The sequence below is a fragment of the Homo sapiens genome, chromosome 1 (genome assembly GCF_000001405.40).
Source record: "Homo sapiens chromosome 1, GRCh38.p14 Primary Assembly".
In the NCBI taxonomy this organism is placed as follows: Eukaryota; Metazoa; Chordata; class Mammalia; order Primates; family Hominidae; genus Homo; species Homo sapiens.
This window is the reverse complement of record NC_000001.11, coordinates 32,885,488-32,905,217: the sequence shown is the minus strand read 5'-3', so window position 1 is coordinate 32,905,217 and position 19,730 is coordinate 32,885,488. Positions and strand designations below refer to the sequence as shown.

At 56.4% G+C, this 19,730-nt stretch overlaps 2 protein-coding genes and 1 long non-coding RNA gene across 9 annotated transcripts, besides 7 other annotated features; 2 read left to right on the top strand and 1 right to left on the bottom strand.

Moving 5' to 3' along the window:
• Positions 1 to 2,017: 2,017 nt before the first annotated feature.
• On the top strand, positions 2,018 to 3,561 carry LOC105378632 (uncharacterized). Its single transcript, XR_947161.3, has 3 exons — positions 2,018 to 2,111; positions 2,386 to 2,548; positions 3,291 to 3,561. It is a non-coding gene; the product is annotated as an uncharacterized LOC105378632 (long non-coding RNA).
• Positions 3,700 to 3,839: a silencer, noted in NCBI's record as "silent region_612". NCBI's record gives its function as "represses an Ori minimal core promoter by ATAC-STARR-seq in GM12878 lymphoblastoid cells {active_cell/tissue: GM12878}" and the evidence as "EXISTENCE:reporter gene assay evidence [ECO:0000049][PMID:35858748]".
• TMEM54 (transmembrane protein 54) lies at positions 3,829 to 10,623 on the top strand. Of its 5 annotated transcripts, none has more exons than NM_001329724.2 (6): positions 3,829 to 3,995; positions 6,899 to 7,092; positions 9,249 to 9,308; positions 9,574 to 9,663; positions 9,779 to 9,913; positions 10,339 to 10,623. In NM_001329724.2, exons 1-6 carry the CDS (start codon positions 3,980 to 3,982, stop codon positions 10,411 to 10,413), a joined length of 570 nt encoding a protein of 189 aa, NP_001316653.1. In that variant the 5' UTR covers positions 3,829 to 3,979; the 3' UTR covers positions 10,414 to 10,623. The 5 variants fall into 5 exon arrangements, with proteins under 5 accessions (NP_001316653.1, NP_277039.1, NP_001316651.1 ...); NM_033504.4 differs by having other exon boundaries at positions 9,475 to 9,663; NM_001329722.2 differs by having other exon boundaries at positions 9,475 to 9,663; positions 10,285 to 10,623.
• Positions 9,204 to 9,802: an enhancer, noted in NCBI's record as "H3K4me1 hESC enhancer chr1:33361017-33361615 (GRCh37/hg19 assembly coordinates)". NCBI's record gives its function as "activates a minimal SCP1, AML or CMV promoter by ChIP-STARR-seq in primed H9 embryonic stem cells {active_cell/tissue: H9 hESC(primed)}" and the evidence as "EXISTENCE:reporter gene assay evidence [ECO:0000049][PMID:30033119]".
• Positions 10,572 to 19,222, bottom strand: HPCA (hippocalcin). Of its 3 annotated transcripts, none has more exons than XM_005270792.4 (4): positions 19,099 to 19,222; positions 15,942 to 16,340; positions 11,589 to 11,694; positions 10,572 to 11,453 (listed from the first exon to the last, which is right to left on the bottom strand). In XM_005270792.4, exons 2-4 carry the CDS (start codon positions 16,317 to 16,319, stop codon positions 11,356 to 11,358), a joined length of 582 nt encoding a protein of 193 aa, XP_005270849.1. In that variant the 5' UTR covers positions 16,320 to 16,340; positions 19,099 to 19,222; the 3' UTR covers positions 10,572 to 11,355. The 3 variants fall into 3 exon arrangements, with proteins under 3 accessions (XP_005270849.1, NP_002134.2, XP_016856607.1); NM_002143.3 differs by lacking the exon at positions 19,099 to 19,222 and adding an exon at positions 18,703 to 18,727; XM_017001118.3 differs by lacking the exon at positions 19,099 to 19,222 and adding an exon at positions 17,655 to 17,720.
• Positions 12,046 to 12,225: a silencer, noted in NCBI's record as "silent region_611". NCBI's record gives its function as "represses an Ori minimal core promoter by ATAC-STARR-seq in GM12878 lymphoblastoid cells {active_cell/tissue: GM12878}" and the evidence as "EXISTENCE:reporter gene assay evidence [ECO:0000049][PMID:35858748]".
• Positions 17,964 to 18,133: an enhancer, noted in NCBI's record as "experimental_6924 CRE fragment used in MPRA reporter constructs". NCBI's record gives its function as "activates a minimal promoter by MPRAs in K562 erythroleukemia cells, with activity observed for the non-introgressed 1:33352771 or rs1284371 variant allele {active_cell/tissue: K562}" and the evidence as "EXISTENCE:reporter gene assay evidence [ECO:0000049][PMID:34662402]".
• Position 18,048: a transcriptional cis regulatory region, noted in NCBI's record as "Neanderthal adaptively introgressed variant 1:33352771 (GRCh37/hg19 assembly coordinates) or rs1284371 in the experimental_6924 CRE". NCBI's record gives its function as "modulates activity of the experimental_6924 enhancer by MPRAs in K562 erythroleukemia cells {active_cell/tissue: K562}" and the evidence as "EXISTENCE:reporter gene assay evidence [ECO:0000049][PMID:34662402]".
• Positions 18,389 to 18,438: a silencer, noted in NCBI's record as "silent region_610". NCBI's record gives its function as "represses an Ori minimal core promoter by ATAC-STARR-seq in GM12878 lymphoblastoid cells {active_cell/tissue: GM12878}" and the evidence as "EXISTENCE:reporter gene assay evidence [ECO:0000049][PMID:35858748]".
• Positions 18,519 to 18,608: a silencer, noted in NCBI's record as "silent region_609". NCBI's record gives its function as "represses an Ori minimal core promoter by ATAC-STARR-seq in GM12878 lymphoblastoid cells {active_cell/tissue: GM12878}" and the evidence as "EXISTENCE:reporter gene assay evidence [ECO:0000049][PMID:35858748]".

Below are 19,730 nucleotides of genomic sequence, written 5' to 3'. Positions count from 1 at the left end.
TTTTTAGTTTTATATACAGGTATATACATACATAAACTAGAATCTGGTACAGTTGTGTGTGATGGCTTTACTTACATGGAGGAACAGTTCTTAAAATCAGGGAGGGATGGCAACCTTCTTTAAATTGAGGAGGGGATGCACAAGGACTGGCAGCCTGAACCCACCTTCCCAGCTAAGCAGCCCCCTGGGAGCCCCTGCCCTGGGGAGATCCAGCTCCCAGCTAAGTGCACGGGCCACACCTGGTTGTTAAATGTACCAGGAAGATAATTGCTATTTGTATTTCTCTGGATAGCTTCCAATGAACTTTCATATCTCGCAAGTCATTGATGGCTCAAAAAATCTGGGAAACCTGGAAAGAAAATCATTATCCCCATTTGACAGATAGGGAAACTGAGGCCCAGGAAATGGCAGTGAGCTGCCAGGATATCACAGTGAGTTGATGGAGGATAAGGAACTAGAGCTCAGACCTGGAGTTCTTTCCAGAACCTCAGGCCAGCATGCAGAGGGGTGGAACAGAGGCCAAGGCTTGCCAGGTAGCTGGCACTGATGGACTTTGGCCACATGGCAATGAGGAAAAGAAGTGGCAATAGCTTCAGACCACTGAGGTTGGCTGACGGCTGGGAAATTATGGTCTGGAGAGAAGCAGGTGGAAAGTTTTCCTTCCTCAGAGGTCCCAGAGGGCAGGCACACTCCTGGGGACTGTGGCTCTCCCCACCCCCAACACACACACACTCAGAAGTCAGGAGCAGCCTCACAGTCAGACAGGTCCAGGTTCAAGTCTCAGCTTTACCACCAATATATGTTGTAGGGTCTTTAAAAAGTCCTTTACCTCTCTGGGCCTCAATTTTCTCATCTGTAAAATGGAGTGATTATCTTTAATTCTGTGTTGTTCCAAGGATAAAAGAGAATCATCATCTATGCATCTGGAAACAAAAGCATTTAAAAGGTCCCCAACCTAATTCCAGAAGGCTCCAGCAGGGGTTAGAGTAAAGAGGACTGCCTGACACTGACTGATAGAGAAGCCACATCCATGCACACACATGAGGTTTGACATCGGCTTTGCAGTGACCACCTGTGCTCTCCGGGGCAGCCCCTGGGAGATGGGCATTGGCATCACAAGCTGTTGGTGGAATGAGGGCAGGGCAGTGGTGATGAAGGGGCCCTTCCTTTCTTTTTATTTTTTCTTTTATTTTCTTTTTTTTTTTTTTTTTTTTTTTTTTGAGACAGAGTCTTGCTCTATTGCCCAGGCTGGAGTGCAGTGGCACAATCTCGGTTCACTGCAACCCCCGCTTTCCGGGTTCAAGGGATTCTCCTCCCTCAGCCTCCTGAGTAGCTGGGATTACAGGCGCCTGCCACCATGCCCAGCTAATTTTTGTATTTTTAGTAGAGATGGTGGTTTTGCTGTGTTGGCCAGGCAGATCTCGAACTCCTGGCCTCAAGTGATCCACCTGCCTTGGCCTCCCAAAGTGCTGGGATTACAGGCATGAGCCACTGCGCCAGGCCGGCCCTTCCTTTCTTTTCAACAAAACCAAGGCATGAATTCATTCTAATACTCCAACTTCAACCATACAGCCATGTGTAAAACAAAAAGCAAAATCCTTCCCGTCACTCTCCTGCATCGCTCTTGGTTATCACTTTGGTGCCATTGCTTGCTATTAGGAACAGTTTGTCCACAAACACCATTAGATGCATGCATATCTTTGCACTCTGGTGCGTAGGATAAAGATCTACAAATGGAATTTCTGGGCCACAGTTACAAGTGTCTGAACATTTTTTTTTTTTTTTGAGACGGAGTCTCACTCTGTCACCCAGGCTGGAGTGTAATGGCCCGATCTCGGCTCACTGCAAGCTCCACCTCCCAGGTTCACGCCATTCTCCTGCCTCAGCCTCCTGAGTAGCTGAGACTACAGGCGCCCGTCAACACGCCGGCTAATTTTTTTTTTTTTTTTTTTTTTTTTGTATTTTTAGTAGAGACGGGGTTTCATCGTGTTAGCCAGGATGGTCTCGATCTCCTGACCTCGTGATCCGCCCACCTTGGCCTCCCAAAGTGTTGGGATTACAGGCATGAGCCACCGCACCCGGCCACAAGTGTCTGAACATTTATAATATGAGTAAGTACTACCCAAATTGCCCTACTAAAAGATTGTCTGAGGACATCAACATTCCGATGCCAGCCCGATGTCTTCATAAACTGCCCCCATCTTCCCTTCCACCTGACAAATATGTCTCCCCACCCGGAATTCCCTGCACATTATCCCCCTTCAGACAGCAGGTGACAGGGAAGCAGCTCTGCTGGGGGGTTACCAGATGGGATGCCCCGGGGGGCTTCCTAGGAGAAATGGCTCCACTTCCTCCCATGGTGTTAATGCGTTCTCCAAACTCCAGAGGCTCTACATCTGACCCAACTGCCCAACACACACAGCGCCGCAGGTGTCAGCACAGGTGTGCAGAAAGACACACAGACAGTGGACAGCCCCCAGGACAGGCTCCAACCAAGCACCCAGAGACAGCCAGCCAGCCCCTGACCTCTGGGACACTGCCCAGTGGGGTAAGTGGGGCAAGCTGTGAACAGATGTTGCCCAGTTCCCATAGTAAGTGCCTCCAAGGACCGAAAGAGCCCAGGGAGGTGGCCACGGTGTGGCCACTCTACAGAACTTGGGCACAGAGACCCAAGGGGATTCCAGGCTCCTGCCTACTCCACCACTTCCAGCTGGTGGTCTTGGGTGAGTGGTCTGTGGTCTCTGAGCCCAAAGGTGCAGGAATGGTACCTATGCCAAAGGGATGCTGAGACTAACAAGGGACCTCACTGGGGTCCATCCTGACACATTAAAGGGCTCAGCAACCCAGAGCAGTACTAATAAAGCTCCTACTATGTGCTCTTGCTAGGTCTACACTTTGTCCATACAGACAGTCTGGAGAGTTTCCAAAGCGTGTTGTTGTTGTTTTGTTGTTTTGAGATGGAGTGGCGAGATCTCAGCTCACTGTAACCTCTGCCTCCCGGGTTCAAGCGATTCTCCTGCCTCAGCCTCCAGAGTAGCTGGGATTACAGGCTTGCCCCACCACATCCGGCTAATTTTTGTATTTTTAGTAGAGACGGGGCGGGGGGGGGGGTGCGGGGGTGTTTCACCATGATGGCCAGGCAGGTCTCGAACTCCTGACCTCAGGTGATCTGCTTGCCTAGGCCTTCCAAAGTGCTGAGATTACAGGCATGAGCCGCCGCGCCCGGCCGAAAGCGCTTTCTTACCTAATTTTTGTATCCTATTTTGTCTCACCACGACCTTCGGGGACAGGAATTATCCCTGATTTTCCAAGGACGGAACTGAAGGCCCTCCCGACTAAGAAGGAGACTTAAAGCGCCTTTTTCAGCGTGGAAGACAAGACTCGCGGGCGCTAAAGGCAAGCGCAGAGAGGGGAGGCGATTTGCCTGAGGTCACACAGCAGGCAGGGGCAGACCCCAATCCCCAGCAGCTCTTTCACTGCCCCTGCTGCCCCTCTCCGTCCCAGCCTTGGGCCCGGGGGCTTTCCGCCCAAGAGCCACACCCAAGTCACGGTAACCACAGCTACGCCGGCAACCCCCAACTTGCCGCGGGCCCGCGCGGGGCGGCTCCTCAGAGCCTCAGTTTCCCTTTCTAGAGCGGGCCCGCCGCCGCCGGTGGGCTGAGGGAGGGCGGCTCGGCGCCGGGCGGGCCGGGCGGGGCGGCGCCTGACTCAGCGGGCGGGCCATGGGCTGCTCAGCCGGTCCGACCGGCCGGGAGGGGCACGAGCCGCGGGGGCGCTGCGGGGCCGGGCGGCCCGGGGGGTGACGGGAAGGGAGGCCGGTCCGGCGCCGCCCAGCCCCGGGCTCCGGGCGGGAAGTGGGCGAGCGCGACGGTGCGGGGCGCGCGGGCGACGGGCCAGCGGGATGGGAGCAGGGTCCCCCGGCGGCCCGCAGCCTCGGGAGCCGCGCTGAAGCCGGGGGCGGGACCAGCGCGGAGCCGACATGTGTCTGCGCCTCGGTGAGCGACTGGGGGCGCGCGGGAGGCCCCGAACCACCCCAACCCTCCCACAGGAGCGGAGCACTGAGCCCGGAACCCGAGCCCCCAGGGGGCCAGGCCACCTGCTCTGCCTCTAACTTACTACGAGGCCGGGGTCGGGTCACTTTCCTCTCTGGGCCTCAGTTTCCCCAGCAGTGAAATGGAGGGGAGGAGCGCTGCGGGTGTCTTCTCGATGTGGCTGTAGCGTCTCTTACCCTCGCCCTCTCTTGCCTTTCCTGCGGAGGCGCACGACTGCCCTCGGGGACCCCCGGGTGGGCGGCAGAGGAGACGCTGGAGAGAGCAGCCCCATCTTACCCAGAAGGGACCCCGGGGCCAGGCCTCAGCTTCCCCACCCTTACAAGGGGCTCCCACTTACATACTCTCCACTCTCCCGAGGCCAGGAAGGAAAGCCGTGGGCAAAAAGGATCAGCAGCGGGGGAGCGGGACTAATGTGCCCCCTCCTTCCACTGCCTGGGCACGGTGATGCTGCTTGTGGGCAGCAGAGTCCTGGGGCATCCCCGCTGTCTAGCCGAGAGACCTTGTGAGCCTCAGTTTCTTTGTCTGTAAGAGGGGGACAGTAGTTCCCACCTCCTAGGACTACTATGAGGATGAGGGCAGCTTCTAAGAGTAAAGCGCTTAGCACCTTGCCGGCTGCGCTGCTATGCGCTCCCACAGTGGTAAGACAAATGAAGCCAGCTGGGCTTCATCTGGGAGGCAGCACTCTGGGAGGCCGAGGCAGGCGGATCGCTTGAGTCCAGGAGAGACTAGCCTGGCCAACATAGTGAAATCCGTCTCTACAAAAAATTTAAATAAAGAAAAAAAAATTTAGCCCGGCTACTCAGGAGGCTGAGGTGGAAGGATCACCTGAGCCCAGGAGGCAGAGGTTTCAGTGAGCCACGATCAGGCCAGTGCACTCCAGCCTGGGCTACAGAGTAAGACCCTGTCTCAATCAATTTAATTTAAAAAGTCAAGGACTGCTCCAGGCTCAGTCCAGTGCTCCAGGCACAGCCCCATGCTGGCACCGTGCCTCCTCTTTGACCAAAGTCTTGGTCCTGGGATGCTGTTGTTATTGAGTCCAGCCCTCAGCTGGAAGGTAGACACCGAGCTCCCAGGTAGGTGGGTGGAGGGGGTGAGGTGGGTCAGGCTCCTGCGCTGAAGCTGCCATGCCCCTTCCTGCTTGGCTGGCAGTCCATCTTCACAATGCTATTCCAGTCTCATGGTGCCTGTCCAGCCCATCGTCTGCCCTCTGCTTCTGCTAGACCTGGTTCAGCTCCAGAGGGTCCTGCAGTCTCCAGGGGTCTCAGACACTGGCTGGACCAATGCCTCCCCATTTTATAGATGTGGAACTTGGGGCCCAGAGGGGAGGGGCTGGTGCATGGTCACACAGCAAGTCTGTGACTGAATAGCCCCATCCCTTCCTGCTCCCTGGGGACTGTCTCTTGGCACAGCTTCAGACAGATGTCCCAGAGCGTCCAGTGTAGAGATTTCATTTTTTTTAGACGGGGTCTCTGGCTCTGTAGCCCAGGCTGGAGTGCAATGGCACGATTATAGCTCACTGTGGCCTCCACTTCCTGGGCTCAGAAGATCCTTCTGCCTCAGCCTCCTGAATAACTGGGACTAGAGGCATGCACCACCATGCCTGCCTAATTTTTTATTTTTATCTTTTTGGTAGAGATGGGATCTTGCTATGTTCATCAGGCTGGTCTTGAACTCCTGGCTTTAAGTGATTCTCCCACCTTGCCCTCCCAAAGTGCTGGGATTAGAGGCATGACCACTGTGCCCAGCCTCTTTTTTTCTTTTTTTTTTTTTTTTTCAGCTGCAGAGCTACCGTATATTAAATATGACCAAACCGCTCTACCACAGATGAGGAGAGGGAGGTCTAGGAAGGGACTCAGAGTCACATCCCATCAGAAGCAGCTAAAGAAGGGGATGTTTAGTTCTAGGGCCTGACCACAGTCTTCAAGTCTCAGAGCTGGCTCTAGTGAGGGGCTGGCAGGGCCAGGGGGTGTGGTGTGTCTCCTTGAAGGCAGAGCTAGGACTTATGGGCAGATTTCAGACAGCAGGTCGGGAGCCGGCATGTGCAGGTAGGGCTGGGCAGCCACTTGGCCACTGAGAGCATCTGAATGAGTCCCAGTGTTCTTTTGATCCCAGCTTCCCCCACTCACTCCATCCTGCCAGGTTCCCCCTGCACTGAGAGCTTGCTTTTCCCAGTACCCTCAGGGTACACCACACTTTCCCATCCACTTCCTCATGGACCCACTGAGAGACAAGGTTCTTCTTCCCATTTTACAGATGGGGACATGGAGATTCAGAGCCTTGAGTTACCTCCCCAAGTCACCTGGCTCTGGGCAGTTCAGTTCAGCAGCAGTGTCAGCATCTGCTGTGTACCAGGCCCTATCCGTGAATCTGAGTACCAAGCAGGGCCCAATTCCTGCCCAATGAACTCTGGCTCCTTGTGGCCTGGAGAGTGACTGTGGAGCTCACCGTCGTACCCCAGGGCCTGGCACAGAGCAGACACTCTGTGAACATGTGTAGTGAACACACGAATCAGTGAATGGGTAGCTTAGTGGGAGGATCTCGAAGTCTAGAGCTAGAGACCTGAGCTAGCGCCCCCCACTCATGACCTTGAACACTAACAAGTGCTACTGCTAAGAGCTACCTGTGTGCTTGTCCAGCCTTAGAGTCCCAAGGATTCTCACAAAGGCATCCCGAACCCCTTTTATGGATGAGGAGACCAAGGCTCAAAGAAGACAAGTTACTGGCTCCAAGTCATTCAGAAATACATTTAGAACCCAATGTCCATCACTAGGGCCAGGGCCTCAGCTTCCCCTTCTGCCCAGCAGGATAAGCCCCACGCACAGCCCTGACATAGCTGTCCCCCACAGGAGGCCTGAGTGTGGGCGACTTCCGGAAGGTGCTGATGAAGACAGGCCTGGTGCTGGTGGTGCTGGGCCATGTGAGCTTCATCACAGCTGCCCTGTTCCATGGCACAGTGCTGCGCTACGTGGGCACCCCTCAAGATGCGGTGGCTCTGCAGTACTGCGTGGTCAACATCCTCTCTGTCACTTCCGCCATCGTGGTATGGCCAGGCTGGGAGGGTGGTTGGTGGGAGGAGGCTGGAGGGGGCTTGAAGGGTCTTCAACAGGTCCCCACCCAGAGCCTGTGGTGGTAAGCAGACAGCCTCAAGGACTAACCCTTTGTCTGCCACTTACCAACTGCCCAAGTCACTCAACTTCTTCATCTATCAAATGGAGATGGTAACAGTGTTTACCTCTGAGGGTCCTAATGGGTACTGATGAGATCATCCACACAAAGTGCTTAGCAGAGTGTCTGGCATGGCATGTTGTTAGCACCCACTACTGTGAGCTAGGATGATTATTACATCGAGGAATAGCCACAGCACCACTGGACAGAAGAAAGGAGCAGGAGGTGAGCTTGGGAGGGTGCCGGAGGGTTTCACAGAGTGCAGGCCTCTGACCTGGGTATTGATGGATGAGCAGGAGTTCACAGACAGGCTGCCATGACCAGAACCTACATATTGGCATGCTGAGGCTAGCATAGGCAGGAAAGGAAGCTGAGATGGCATTCCGAGTACAGAGAATGGGAGACGGGAAGGTTGGAGGTGGAAATGACTAAGATCTGTTCTGGAGATTCTGAGAAAACCAATTTGGCAGGAGCTTAGCATTAGGCCCGGTCTGTAGCAACTGCTCAATGAATGGTAGCCACGGTTGTGACCAGATATCAGTACCTGTTTGACTAGCACATGAATGGAGGGGTCTGGTAGTCTCAAGTTTCTAAAGCTCTTTCTTGCCGGTCAGCACAAGTGGCCACAGCCTCGGGGGAAGATCCTCCCGCACATCAGTGTCTGAGTTCCATCCCTGCCTTCTCCTGGCTGAGGGACTTATTTCTCTCTCTAGGCCTGTTCCTCCCTTGCAAAATAAAGCTCAGACAGCCTGCTGGCCTCAAGGCTTGGGAGAATGGGAGTCATAGGTCCCAGCAAGAAAGAGAGGCTCTGTTGGTGGGACAGGGCTGGGATGGGCGGATGTGTGCAGGGTCCTTGGAGTTCCTCTAATACTGTTGTGAGGAAGGCAGGGAAGGCAGTGAGCTCAGGGCGAGGAGGTCCACCAGGATGGACTTTGAGCTGGACCACTTCAGCCTTCCCCTCACTTACTCGGTTAATCCTCACTTCTCCCAGCAACTGGGGGCCATTATTATACCTGTTTCACAAAAGAGGAAACCAAGACTCAGGGATTCACCCAACCTCCTGCTGATACACAGAAGCCAAACCAGATTGGAAACTATTTGTGTCTGACACCAAAACCAGTGTCCTTTCTGTCAGCTCATCCTGCAGAGTGGGGCTAAGCCCACAGAGATGAGGCACTCTGTTGTGGCTCTCATGTGAACTAAAGACATGCTAGGCCTGGAACCCAGGACCCCGTCATACCACCTGCCTCAGATGGGTCCGGCCCAAGCCTGGTCCAGTGAGGAACATCAGGAGGAAGGCTGGCTGGGTGGACCCCAAAGATCCAGAGGGCAGCTGTTGGGCTGAACTGTGGGGTAGCCCCACCCCTTGGGATCGAGGCTGGTTAGGGAAACGTGTGCAAACCTGAGCAGGGCTTGCAGGATCCACACGGGCAGAGGAGCAGGAAGGTGAGAGGGTGCATGGGCAGTGTCCTGAGCAGGCTGTGTATGGGCATCCACATCCAGAGCAGTGAGGGAGGAAGGTAGCCCAGGTAGGGCTGAGAAGCCAACAGGGTTGGGGCTGGGATCTGGTCACTGAGAGCCTGGAATCATTGAAAATACTCCCAGAGATTTAAAATTCTACTCCATAACATGTCTTGGTTTGTTTCAATGTAACAATTTTGATTTTAGTTCCTTGCTAACTGGGTTAGTTTCTTCCACAATCTTTTTCATTCCAGAAAGGGGTGTCCCATGCATACCCTGGCATGCCCCGGTGGCCCCAGGATACATGAACCTGCTTGAGACACAGGCTTAGGAGTGGGGACTCATGGAAGGTTGTAGAGAGGGAGTGACTGTTTTAGAAACATCATGTCAGGCTGGACTATGAGGAGGCAGATGGAGATGTGAGGCCCAGGCTAAGCAGCAGGTGAGGGGTGGGGGAGTCTGGAGGGCAATGGTTGGCGCCGGTGAGATCATTATCCCAGAGTGGCCCTGATCCCCCTGCCCCTGTTCCTCCAGCCAAGGAGTCAGGGCTGACTTGAGCCTTCCCTACAGGTCATCACTTCAGGCATCGCAGCCATCGTGTTGTCACGCTACCTCCCTAGCACCCCCCTGGTACGTGGTGCCTCCTGGGATGGGGCTGTGAGGGAAGGGTAGGGGCAGCAGCCACCCGCCAAGGGCCTGGCCTCCTTGGAGAGGGTAAGGCTGACCCTCAGGGAGGCCAGAGCTGCCCATGGGGGCCAAGCACGACGCCCATTGACCAGTGGCCTCCCCCGTCCAGCGCTGGACAGTGTTTAGCTCGAGCGTGGCCTGTGCTCTCCTTTCTCTGACCTGTGCCCTCGGCCTCTTGGCCTCCATCGCCATGACCTTTGCCACCCAGGGCAAGGCACTGCTGGCTGCCTGCACTTTTGGGAGCTCTGAACTACTGGCCCTCGCACCTGACTGTCCCTTCGACCCCACACGCATTTATGTGAGTACCTAGGCCTGGAGTAGGGGCACCAGGCCCTCGCACGGGTGGGAAGGGCTCTTGGAATCCACCCTCCACCCCCAACTCCAGCCAGCCATCTCTGCCCCATGCCCCGCAGAGCTCCAGCCTGTGCCTCTGGGGCATCGCCCTAGTGCTCTGCGTGGCGGAGAACGTGTTTGCTGTACGCTGTGCTCAGCTCACCCACCAGCTGCTGGAGCTGAGGCCCTGGTGGGGGAAAAGCAGCCACCACATGGTAAGTTCCCTCCACAGCCCTGACTCCCCGAATTTCCTGGGAGCCCCTGCCAGGGTGCCCAAGCTGCTCTGCCCCACCCCTATGTATGGGCCCCCACCTTGAGAAATGGGGCAGAAGTTTTCTCCCCAGGAGCAAAGGGAGAGGCCTGGAGGCTGGGAGAGGTGAGATCTCCCAGCAGAGTCACACAGCTGACACCTGGCTCTCCTAGGGCCCAGGATGAGTCTTGAGGGAGGGGCAGGGGTGTCTGGGCTCGCACTGAGGGCATTGCAAAGGTCAGGCCTGGCTCTTGCAGTGGAGTGGGTAGTGATGCCCCTTTGCCCCCAGAGAGCCTTCCAGCCCTCACCTCCTTCCATTTCCCGGATGTCCTGGAGGAGGAGACCCAGGCTGAGAACCAGTGGGTCTGGCAGCCTCCTGTGTCTCTGCAGATGCGGGAGAACCCAGAGCTGGTGGAGGGCCGTGACCTGCTGAGCTGCACCAGCTCTGAGCCTCTGACCCTCTGAGAGATGATGTCCTGCCCAGGCCCGATGGCCACTAGGACCCTGCAAGCAACTCTGCTCTGTGACCAGGCCAGGATTCCTGGAGCTGGCCTGAGAGGGCTCAATGGACCCTCGGGGACCCAAGTGGGGCTTTCAACCCTCTCCCCCACCACCCAGCCCACTGCACTGAAATGAGACTTTATTCTGAAATTATTAAAAAGAACAGAGATGCTCCATTTGGCTGCATGCAGGGGGGGCGGTTGGGGGGACAGAGGGGAGGACAGGGGCTCAGCCAGGGGGACCGTGTCTCTTTCCCACGCAGGACACTGTGCATGGGGCTCTGGGTGCATCTGCCCATCTGTCTATGGGCCTGTGTGTGTGTGAGAGGCCAAACACAGAGAGCTCCGTGGGTCTGTGTGTATCCAAGTGCTAAAAGGCAGGCTGGCTTTCTGGGGCCCACAGCTGGCGGGCTAGTATCCTGGAAGGTTTCACTTGGTGGCTTGGCCTAGGGACCAGCAAGGGCTGGGGTGGGAAGGGTGGCTCAAGGAAGCCTCTTTCTCCAACTCCACACCCCTAGAATCCTTCTCTCCCCTCCAGATAAAAAGTCTCCTCCCCTGGGCATGACTCCCCCCACCCCGCAAGCTGAGACCTGCAAGAAGGGGACTGCCCCTTTGGGGGAGGGGTCGGGCCTTGGGGCTGGTGGGTGGGTAAGGGGGCCTGACTGAGGGGCAGACCAACCCAGCCTGTGTCTCTATTGTTGCCTCTGGGATTGGGGGGTGCTAACCGCTTACTTGCTTTGGCCTGGGGGTACCGCAGGGTTCCCTTTTCCGGAAGCCCCCCACAGGGCAGACCCGGGGAGAAGGGCTTCCCCAATCTGGCCCCCAGCCAGAATACACACAAGGGAGTGGAAGCTAAGAGCCGGGAGGGGGCCGGTGAAGGGAGGGAGGAAGGGGAACCTGGCTCCTCTCAGAACTGGGAGGCGCTGCTGGGGTCGCACTGCAGCAGACGCACGATGGACGGGTCGCTTTTGGCCCCGCGGATGAACTCCTCCAAGGACAGCTTGCCTGCAGGGCGAGGGGAGCGGTGATGGGGGAGGAGGCGGCAGCCTAGCGAGGGGAGGCGGAGCGGGAAAGGGAGGCAGGGAGGGAGGGAGGGAAAGGCGCCCGCCCCGTCCACCCCGTCCCGCCCCTGCCCCTCACCGTCGTTGTTTGTGTCCATTTGGCGGAAGATTTTCTCAGTCCTCTTTTCCGGGGTCGACTCGTCCTCCGGCATCTTCATCACGGACGAAACCATCTTGTAAATGGCCTGGGGGCGGGAGGGGAGGCGGGGAGTGAGAGGAGCCTGCCCGAGCCCCCACCCGCAAGATTCAGAGGCGCCCCCGGGCTCTCTGACGTTTGCTGCCCCCGCCTGGGCAAGGTGGAGTGGGGAATCACGGAGGCGTGGGGAGCCGAGGGCTTCGGGAAGGCGTGTCCGGGAAGGCCTCCCAGAAGAGAGGGCTATCGGGCGGGCCCTGCCGCGCTCCCTTGGAGGGCTGGGTGGGAAAGGAGCAAAGGCGCCGCAGGTGGAAGCTCCGAGCGGGCGCAGGGGTCAGGAGAGATGTTGGAGGACACCGGGGCCCGACAGTGGAGGGCCTGGAGCGGCGGGCTCAGGAGCGCGTGCCCCGGGGCACGCGCGTCGGGGGTAAGTACCGGGCTGGCACCCGGGCCCAGGGCGGCCCGCGCTCGGTGGTCGAAAGGGGGCGCCGGGCCAAGGGGGCGGCACTGCGCTGCGGGGCCGTCTGCTGCCGGCAGGGGGCGCGGCGCGGGCTGGAGGGCCAGAGGCAGCTGGGCCCAGAGGGGCGGGGAACAGTATGCAAATGAATGCAAATGAGCATCTGCAGCGGGCAGGGACCGCCAGGCTTGGCTAGGCTGGGCTGGGCAGAGGGCGGCAGCCGCCACGTGCAGTAGCTCCCGAGGCGACGTGAAAGAGAGTTCTTGCGCTAAATGTACAGAGCACGTAGGGCTTGGCCTGTAGCCTGGGTCGCAGTGCCTTGGAGCTCAAGGACCGAACCTGTCTCCTCAATCTTCCAGCTTTACCCGACCGACACTTCCTCCAAGAAGCCTCCCTTCTCCCATCCCATAAACTTCTGCTGCCTCAGATCCAGCTTCAGCCTCCACACTGGTCTCTTCCAGCCTCTGTCCCTCGGGTCTGTCCCCCATGCTGCCTCTGAAAGCTCTTTCCGAACACAGATCTCCACTGTTACGTCCCCAGCCTGCACACCACCCCCTCACTCCCGTCACACACAGGCCTCCTCTTAGGCCCGCCTTGCACCCAGCTCCTGCTGCTGCTTCCCACTTCTCCTTGGGGCTCAGTTTACAAGCTGTTTTCTTAGCGAGGTCTTCTCCAACCCAGGCTGGGTCAGGGTGCATATGGGCCCAGAGCCTGGCGGACTTTTCCTTTGCAGACATCTCTCCAGAAGTAATTATGTCTTTGCAGGGTTGTTCCTGCAAACATGGACGTCTAGCTAATGCCCATATCCCCAGAACCTGGGACCAGGCAGGGACTTCCCTATTTAAAAGCCATTGGCACTTCCCACTGCCCTCTGTACCAAGTTCAAACCATTCAGCCCTTGGGATTTAAGACGCTTTACAATCTGTCCACTGCTGACCCTCCTCCATCAGGTCTCCCCTGGCTGGGTGATTCTGCCAACAGCCAAACACCCCTGGCCCTTCAGATTCTCCAGCATTTACAGTCTTTGCCTGGAATAACGATACTAAGTACCACTTATCAGGGGCCCGCTCTGTGCCAAGTACTTCACATGCACTATTTCTAAACCTCACGCAAGCCCTGAAAAACAGGTATCATGATCCCCATTTTCCAGATAAGAAACTGAGGCTCAGAAGGAAATTGATGGCAGAGACTCGATTTGTACCTGTTCCCTCTTAGCTGCTGGAGGGATGCTTGGGCAGTGTGGGGTGGTGATAATCAGCAGGGCCTTTAGCATTAGACCCGGTCTGTAGTAACTGCTCAATGAATGGTAGCCACAGTTGTGACTGGATATCACTACCTGTCTGACCAGCACATGAATAGAGGGGTCTGGTAGTCTCAAGTTTCTAAAGTTAGATGGACCTGGAGTGGTGTCCTGGTTGAACTACTCACTAACTGTGTAGCCTTGGACATATATGTATCTGTGAGCCTCAGTTTCCTCAGATTAAATGAGATTATGTGTGAGGAACCGTGGCTGGCTAGAGTGGGTGGTCAGTAAACAGCAGCTCATATTATAGTCATTATTCATCCTCCACATCCTCAAGTCTTCCCTGCCACTCAGTAGTCCCCTGGTTCCCAGATGACACCTTTACACCCCTGTCACTGAGCTTGTCAGTGTGACCTACACATCTGTCTCCCCCACCAGAGTGGGAGCCCCAAGAGGCGCAGTCTCTTCCTCTCCAGTGTGTCCATTACCTGGCAGAGGGCTGGGTCTTGAGAAGAACTGGGCCAGTGACCAGTAACCCTGTGATAGCCTTCTCCTGGGCCTCCTAACTAATTGTCTGGAATTGCTGCTTACTCATGGTTTCATGGGAGCCAACTTGTCATTAATCAGGCACTGGGGCTTGCAGAGCTCTGTGTGCACCAGCTGTCTGGGGCCCCCGGGCCGCCCTAAAAGAAGCCAGGGTCTGGATAGCAGAGGCCACCAGAAAGGGGTCCTGAGGATGCCCAGGGAATGGGTCTAGCTTGACTGACACCCGGGCGTGGTGGCTCCAGCAGGACTGGGGTTTACCAGTACACACCAGTGCAACACACTAAGTGGTAAAATGCCAACATTCCTTCAGATAGTCAGTACCCAGCTGCTGTCCATGTCCGGGTGATCCTCCACCATTCTGGCCACCTGGCCCTACCATCAGGACCCCCAGATCCCCCTACCATCAAGCAACTAAAGAGTCAAATGCCTGGCTCACAGGAGTCCATGGCAAACATTAGGGCTTTCCCCTCTCTAGCCATAGGTATGGGGAGGGCATCACATCTCCACCTGGAGAGAAGACCCAGACCTTAGCAAGAGGAGAAGCCAAAGTCAAGAGTCCAGCAGTGGCTGGGGCAGCAGTCTGTGGAGCTGAGGGACCAGAAGGGAAAGGATTCAGAGATGCAGAAGGAAAGGGGGCAAGAGCTTGTGCAAAGCTGCGTGACAGGATTAGTCAGGGCACATTTCAAAGATGCTGAAAAGGCCCTTCTGGCTAGAGCAGAGGATGTGCAGAGGAGAAAATAATAACAGACAATTGCTAATGTCTACCAAGTACCAATTATATGCCAAGCCTTCCGCTCAAGTCCTTATCTCACTCTATCCCTGCAATAGCCTTGTGAGGCAGGGGATTAACACCCCCACTTTACAGGTGAAAAAATGTGTAAAGCCTTAGGAAAAAGGCAGATAAAATAGAGCCAGAGCCCTGGCCATCTTCAAGGCTGGGCTGAGGGGATGGGTGGTTTCTGAAATAAAGCTAACATGCAGCACACTTAAACTTGTACTAACAAAAGGCATTTATATCCGGTCCTTAAATCTCCTTGTGAAGTCAGTATGAGCGTACAGATGAGCAACCTAAGATTGAAGGCCACTTCCAGAACTGGAAGCCAGACCTCCTGGCTATGAGTCCAGAGCCCTCTCAGTAGACAGCTCTAAGTAGTGGCCAGCCAGAGCTTTTCTCCACTTATGTGCTGTGTGATTTTGGGCACATCACCTCACCTCTCTGAGCCTCATGGGGTTGTTGTAAGCACGCACTGAGCTCATGAGCACCTCACTCAATGCTAGGCTCATAGTGGGCCCTCAATCAATTAGTTAGAAGATGGCTGGGTATCCAGATGGAATGTAGACAGTGGTGCCAGATGGCCCACTCACACAGGCTGTGTGGCCTCAAGCAAGTGCCTTTATCTCTCTGAGCATCCGTTTCCTCTGGTGTAAATGAGGATCAACTAGACATAGCTGGACTGTGCTCTGCAGAAATGTCAATTCATAAAAGATAAAGAAAGGATGAGGAGCTATTCCAGATTAAAGGGGGCTAAAGAGACATGAGAACTAGATGCAATGCATGACCCCAGGTCAGGGCCAAAAATGCTATAAAGAACATTATGGAGACAGTTGGCAAAATTGGAATATGGTTGGTAGATTAGATAATAGCATTGTTTCTATGTTAAATATCCTGGCTTTGGTAATCATATTATGGGTTATGTAAGAGAATGTGCTTATTTTTAGGAAATATATCCTAATGTATCCAGGGGTAAAGGGCCAATGTTCAGAACAGCAAGAAAATGTTACACACTAGTGTGCACACACGCACACACACACTGATAATGATGAAGCAACTGTGGGAAAATGTTAATTGGTGAATCTGGGTAGAGGGTATAGGGGAGTTTTCTCAACTTTTCTTTAAATGGGAAATATTTCCTAAAAACAATTTTTAAAATGGGATTGCAAGAATATCCCCTGCCACCACATGCCTACGAGGTCTGCTGAGAGGATCAAAAGGGGTGGTGGGTGCAAGCTGCCGGGCCCTGTGCCTGGCATTCTGAGGGGCCCAGGGGCCCACCTGCACGATCTCCAGCATCTCCTCCCGGCTGATGTAGCCGTTGCCGTCCAGGTCATACATGCTGAAGGCCCACATGAGCTTCTGCTCCAGGCGGCCGCGCGAGGTCACGCTCAGCGCAATGATGAACTCCCGAAAGTCTATGGTGCCATCGCTGTTGGTGTCAAAGGTGCGGAAGACGTGCTCGGCAAACTTGGAGGCGTCACCATAGGGAAAGAAGTTGGCGTAGATCTTCTTGAACTCATCCACATTGAGGATTCCTGTGGGGCAGTCCTTGAGGAAGCCCTTGTACCACTCCTGCAGCTCCAGCTCTGAGAACTCTGTGTTCTCTCGCAGGTCCTGCAACATCTCGGGCCGCAGCTTGCTGTTCTGCTTGCCCATGGCCGCCGAGCCAAGTCCCACCTGGGTCCCCAAGGGGGTCAAGGGCAGAGAGGAGTGATCAGGCCCTCCTGGCTACTAGACACTGCTCCAGATGGGCCCCCCTGCCAACAGCCATCCCTGCCTCTTGTTTGGCCCAGTGAAAGAGAGGAACTGGCCCAAGGTCACACAGCCTAGACCCAGGCATCCTGTATCTATGCCATGCTCCACACCATCTCCCTGGACCATACGCTTTCCTGGGAGAGGGAGGAAGGGAAGGGTGGTTCACATTTACTGAGGCCCTTCTAGGTGCCAGCCACTAAGCCTTCACAAATGCACACCAATTCACTTTCGCAACAGGTTGTATGGGGATTTGCCCCATTTTACAGATGAGAAGGCAGGCTTACAGACGTGAGGTGGCTGCTTCAGGTCACACAGCCATGGCATTATGAGGCTGACTCCTAGAGTTGCCCACAGAGGTGCAGAAAAACCTTCTGATCCTCCTCCGTCCTACCCACTGCCTTCTCATTGCCTCACATGTGCCTGCTCAGCACTGAATATACCCGCAGCCCAGACACTGCCCTGTTCTCCCTCTGACAGGTGTGCCCAACAAGAGGCAGCAGAGGGAGGTGTTACTGTGGGCTCCAGAGTCAGATCACCTAGGTTTGAATCCCAGCTCCTCCTCTTACCAGCTATGTGACCTTGGGCAAGTTCCTTAAACTCTCTCTGCCTTATCTTTAAAGTGGGGTAATAACAGTACTTACCTAAGAGGATTGTTTTGGGGATTAAATTAGTTAATATGTGTGAAGCACTTAGAACCATGGCTGCATAGATAAGTGCTACATAAATGTTAAATAAATAAAAATGACTTACATATACCCAGGTGCCACAAAACTCATGCAAAAACTGTGCAAATGAATGTATACCGATAACTGTATGCTTCATAGCTCACCAGATCCACACCCTGGATCCCATGCCACTCACGTACCAGCCCACGCCCACCCATGGGTCAGCATGCCTCCACACATGACGACATTCCCTCTGCTCCACAACTCACACGAATCGACACATGGCACCACGCACAACTCCCATACCCTGTGCATCAAGACACACCAGCCCACGACCCCACATGTCTCACACATGCCATCACACGCCAACTCGCATGCCGACACCTCTCACATGGCCAGCTGCACGTGGGACCTTCAGGCACCCTTGCCATTTTTCTTTGTTTTCCTTCTGTTTTCCCAGGGGTGCTGCCAGGTCCCAGGAGAGGGAGCTGCAAACCTTCCCAGACCTGCTCGGGGCCCCTTTTCCAAGGAGACCCCCCACCAAGCCCATCCAAGCCTCCCCAACACTTACCCTTCATCTAGTCCTGAAAGGTCCCCTGAGTGCAGGTTAGATTGTGGAGGCTGAGTAGAAGGCAATGAAGAGGAAACAGCCAGCCAGTTCTGCACAAGGATGTAGGCGTGTGTGCAGGTGACCCCCACCCACTTAGGGCAAGGAGGGGCCTCCTTGTGCATACATGTGCATGAAGCTCTGCACACATGTGAATGGGTGTGTTGTGAGTGCATGTGCTCATGCATGATGTGTGCCGCTGGTTTTTGCATTGCATTTGCCTGCCGTGTCTTTCCATCTATGTCCCTGCATGTGCCTCAGATGTGCATGTGATCAGGTATGCACCCGTCACAGCGTGAGGGAATGAGCCCGTGTGGCCATTTGGAGGACCCGTGTGTGTCCTCGGCGGTGTGTCACATGCATGTTTCTGTAAGTTGGTGCCCCTCCTTTCTAGACCAGCCTCTTATGGCCCAGGCTAAGGACCCACCGGACAAGTGAGTGGGAAAGGGCTAAGGAAATGAGAAGGGCTGGGGCATGTCCCGCACTGCCCTCCTCAAGGTCCAAGGAACTGGGTCACCGGGGTGGGGGCAGAGAGATGCGCGGAGCAAGAGAGCTCCTCCAGTGCCCCCTGGGCCCTGCCACCCTCGGAGTTGCCCCTCCCGGTTGCAAGAAGATTCAGCTGCCCGCAAAGACCTCCAGTCCCCCATATGGGAAGAACCCCCTCAGCTCGACCTGAGAAGCCAGCCCCGGGGACCCGCTCCAAACCTCCCTCAGCTCTGTCCCCCAGCCCCCGCCTCCATCCGCTCAGCACTAGGACAGCGCCCGGCGCGTGGCCCCTCCTGGAGGGGGCGCTCCAGGGCGGTCGAACGCGGTTCCTAGGGGCCGGCCACTCGGCGGTCAGGACCCTGGAGAGCACCGCGCGCTTCCCAGTCCCCAGCGCCCCCGCCACCCGGGGCAAGGATTCCCGGGAAGCCCGGGAGCGGCGGTGTTGGGAAGCCCTGGACGTGGGCCCCCAGCTCCGGGAACCCCCTGCCCTCATCCCCCGGCCCCGGCTGGAGCTGCCCCCACTCACCCAGCGACGCGGAGACACCGACTGCGCAGGGAAGGCGGCGCTGCTGCGGCGCGCGCGGCAGGGGCGGCAGGAGGGGCGGGCGGGACTGCGAGGGAGACGCCCCGCAGCGCTCACCCGGAGCCCCTCCCCTGGGGGGGTCCCCGCCAGCCCTGGGGGCTGGGGAGCGGCGCGCTGGGCTCCGCCCCCCACCCCCGCCCCGGAGAGAAGGGGACGCCCTCAGTTCCCCGGTCCCCCTCGAGGGAGCACCCTGCCCGGGGAGGAGGATCGCGGCGCCCCTCTCCTCGGCACCTCGGCTCTGGTGGCCGGAATGGAGGGACACGGTAGTGCCAAGAGGTCTCTCTCCTGAGCCGGGGGCGATCCCAGGCCACTCCGCCCCGCTTCCTTCCCCATACCCACCTGGGCTCTGAGCCGCACGTCGCTTCGAGGGCCGAATTGGCACCCTGGGCACCCTCCCTGCTCCTGCGCCTCAACTCCCAACTAACGGAGCTGGGAGCGTGGAGCGCCCATTCCTCCAGCTACTGAGGTCTTCGGGGTAGGGGACCAGACACGCCCCCTTCCCCACCTCCACCTTGGCGAGCCGGCCCCCATGTCAAACCCACCACTCCAGACCTCACCCCGACCCCCCTCTCAGAATTAATCCCACCTCCCAACTTTGGTGTCAGCTGCTCCTCCCACTCCCCCTTCCAATCAAGGAAACCCCCTCCCTTCCTCCCTCCCCAGCCTCTGATTGTGCAGGCCATGACAGGAGGGCAGAACATCTGCCTGGGGATCCTGTGGCACCTACCCACTGCCTGCCGACCGCACAGCTCCTCTCCAGAGTCGATGACCCCTAGCCCAGCTCCTCCTGCCCCCAGCCTCAGCAACATTCTCCGCATGCTGGGCTGAGATTTTGTCCTTTTTCCATTTCTAGGGGTTGGTCCTTATTGTCCCCATGAAGAAATGGGCTCAAAGGGGTTAAGTGATTTTTCCAGTGTGTGCGCCCTCATCCATTCATTCCACAAATACATATAAAACACTAGTTCTGCGGC

What these genes read in the sequence shown, in the direction of transcription:
- TMEM54 (NM_001329722.2), top strand. An exon ending in CTGTCACTTCCGCCATCGTG is followed by an intron (nt 7,093 to 9,248) that starts GTATGGCCAGGC and finishes CCTTCCCTACAG; the next exon opens with GTCATCACTTCAGGCATCGC. An exon ending in ACCTCCCTAGCACCCCCCTG is followed by an intron (nt 9,309 to 9,474) that starts GTACGTGGTGCC and finishes TCCCCCGTCCAG; the next exon opens with CGCTGGACAGTGTTTAGCTC.
- HPCA (XM_005270792.4), bottom strand. Translation starts at nt 16,319, where the DNA reads ATGGGCAAGCAGAACAGCAAGCTGCGGCCCGAGATGTTGCAGGACCTG. An exon ending in AGATGCTGGAGATCGTGCAG is followed by an intron (nt 11,695 to 15,941) that starts GTGGGCCCCTGG and finishes TCCCGCCCCCAG; the next exon opens with GCCATTTACAAGATGGTTTC. An exon ending in AATGGACACAAACAACGACG is followed by an intron (nt 11,454 to 11,588) that starts GTGAGGGGCAGG and finishes CTCGCCCTGCAG; the next exon opens with GCAAGCTGTCCTTGGAGGAG.